Below are 1,970 nucleotides of genomic sequence, written 5' to 3'. Positions count from 1 at the left end.
TTCACTACAGATCTCCCAAACCTGAATCTGCATTTAACCCGATTCCCAGGTGACTCCTGTGTATATTAAATTTGAGACCTGCTGGTTTCACCAGCACTGGCCACATGTGGCTTTTGAGCACCTGAAATGTGCTTTGTGTGGTGGAGGAATTGTACATTTCATTTTACTTCATTTTAATTTTCTTTTTTTTAAGACAGAGTCTCACTCTGTCACCCAGGCTGGAGTGCAGTAGTGCAATCTCAGCTCACTACAACCTCCACCTCCCAGATTCAAACGATTCTCCTGCCTCAGCCTCCCAAGTAGCTGGAACTACAGGCACCCATCACCACGCCCAGCTAATTTTTGTATTTTTAGTAAAGACAGGGTTTCACCATGTTGCCCAGGCTGGTCTCAAACTGCTGACCTCAGGTGATCCGCCTGCCTAAGCCTCCCAAAGTGCTGGGATTACAGGCGTGAGTCACTGCACCCAGCCAATTTTCATTTTAATTTAAAGAGCCACAATGAATACTTATTGGATAACACAAGCCTAAATCAATATAAGTGCTCCAAAATGTTGGCCATCATTGTTATTGTTTTTTTGAATTTTTTAAAATTAGAGACAGGGTCTCACCCTGTTTGCCTAGGCTGGAGTGCAGTGGCACAATCATAGCTCACTGCAGCCTCAAACTCCTGGGTTCAAGCTATCCTCCCACGTCAGCCTCCCGAGTAGCTGGGACCACAGATGTGCACCACCACGCCTGGCTAATTTTCTTATTTTTTGTAGAGATAGGGGGTCTCACTGTGTGGCCCAGGCTGATTACAAACTTATTGTTATTATTATTGTTATCATGTTACTTGTTCAAGGAGAGGAAAGCAGTAAAATGAAAATGGATTCAGCAGCATGGGCTACTCATTTCCTGCTTTTACCATCCTCCAAGACAGGGGTATAATTATTCTCACTGGTCAGATTTGGAAAGCGAGGTTTGGGTCACTTGTGCAAGATCACATAGTAAAAAGCATGGCCATCCTGACATCATTGATCAACCAGTCTGTGTGCCAGGAATACTGTGTGTTTGTCGTGTGTGTGTGTGTGTGTGTGTGTGTGAGAGAGAGAGAGAGAGAGACTCTCTCTGTCACCCAGGCTGGAGTCCAGTGGCGCAACCTCCACTCACTGCAACCTCTGCCTCCCCGGTTCAAGCGATTCTCCTGCCTCAGCCTCTCAAGTAGCTGGGATTACAGGCGTGCCACCATGCCTGGCTAATTTTTATATTTTTAGTAGAAACAGAGTCTTATCATGTTGGTCAGGCTGGATGTGTGTTGGTCTTTTAATCCCCATAACTGGCCAACAAGGAGATACTATTACACTTGCCATTTTACACATAGGGAGGTTCATTTGGGAGGCTCAGAGAAATGAAGTGACTTGTGCAGGGTCACACAGCATCCAAGTGGCAGAGGGACTGTGGACACAGGCCTGTCTGTCTCCCCAGCCAGGGTGTCTCCCAAGGCTGTACCATGGTGTGCCCCGAGTAGTGGCGGGGCAGTAGCCATGCTGGAGGGGCCATGTGAGCATGAGGCAGACCGTGGCTATTTCTCAGCCTGAAAACGCCCCTTGGAAGTGGGGGCTACCGTGATGACCTCTGGAGGCCCCTCACTCCCCTCCAGTTAGGCCGTGGCAGATGCCAGGCAAACACTGCAGCCCGTGTGAACCTCCAGTTGCTCTCTGAAGCAAGGCTGGGTCAGCCTGGGCTGCAAGCAGCAGGCACCAGGGAACGTGAGCTGCTTCTTGAGTAGCTACTGCCGGCGGCAGCAGCCCACTAGGTCCAAGGAAGCTCAAGGAAGCTGGCCTTCCGCCTCGGCCTCCGCTGTTTGCTTGTATTTAACGCCTTGCTCCATTTCCAAACGAGCGTGGGTACTGCGTGTTTGTTTGTCTAGCGACAGAAGGCAGCCTCCCAGGGAAAGGCTCCCCCCTTCCCTCCCCAGCCCCCCTCTAT

This window comes from Homo sapiens, chromosome 12, assembly GCF_000001405.40.
Source record: "Homo sapiens chromosome 12, GRCh38.p14 Primary Assembly".
NCBI lineage: Eukaryota > Metazoa > Chordata > Mammalia > Primates > Hominidae > Homo > Homo sapiens.
Note: the sequence above shows the minus strand (reverse complement) of the source record.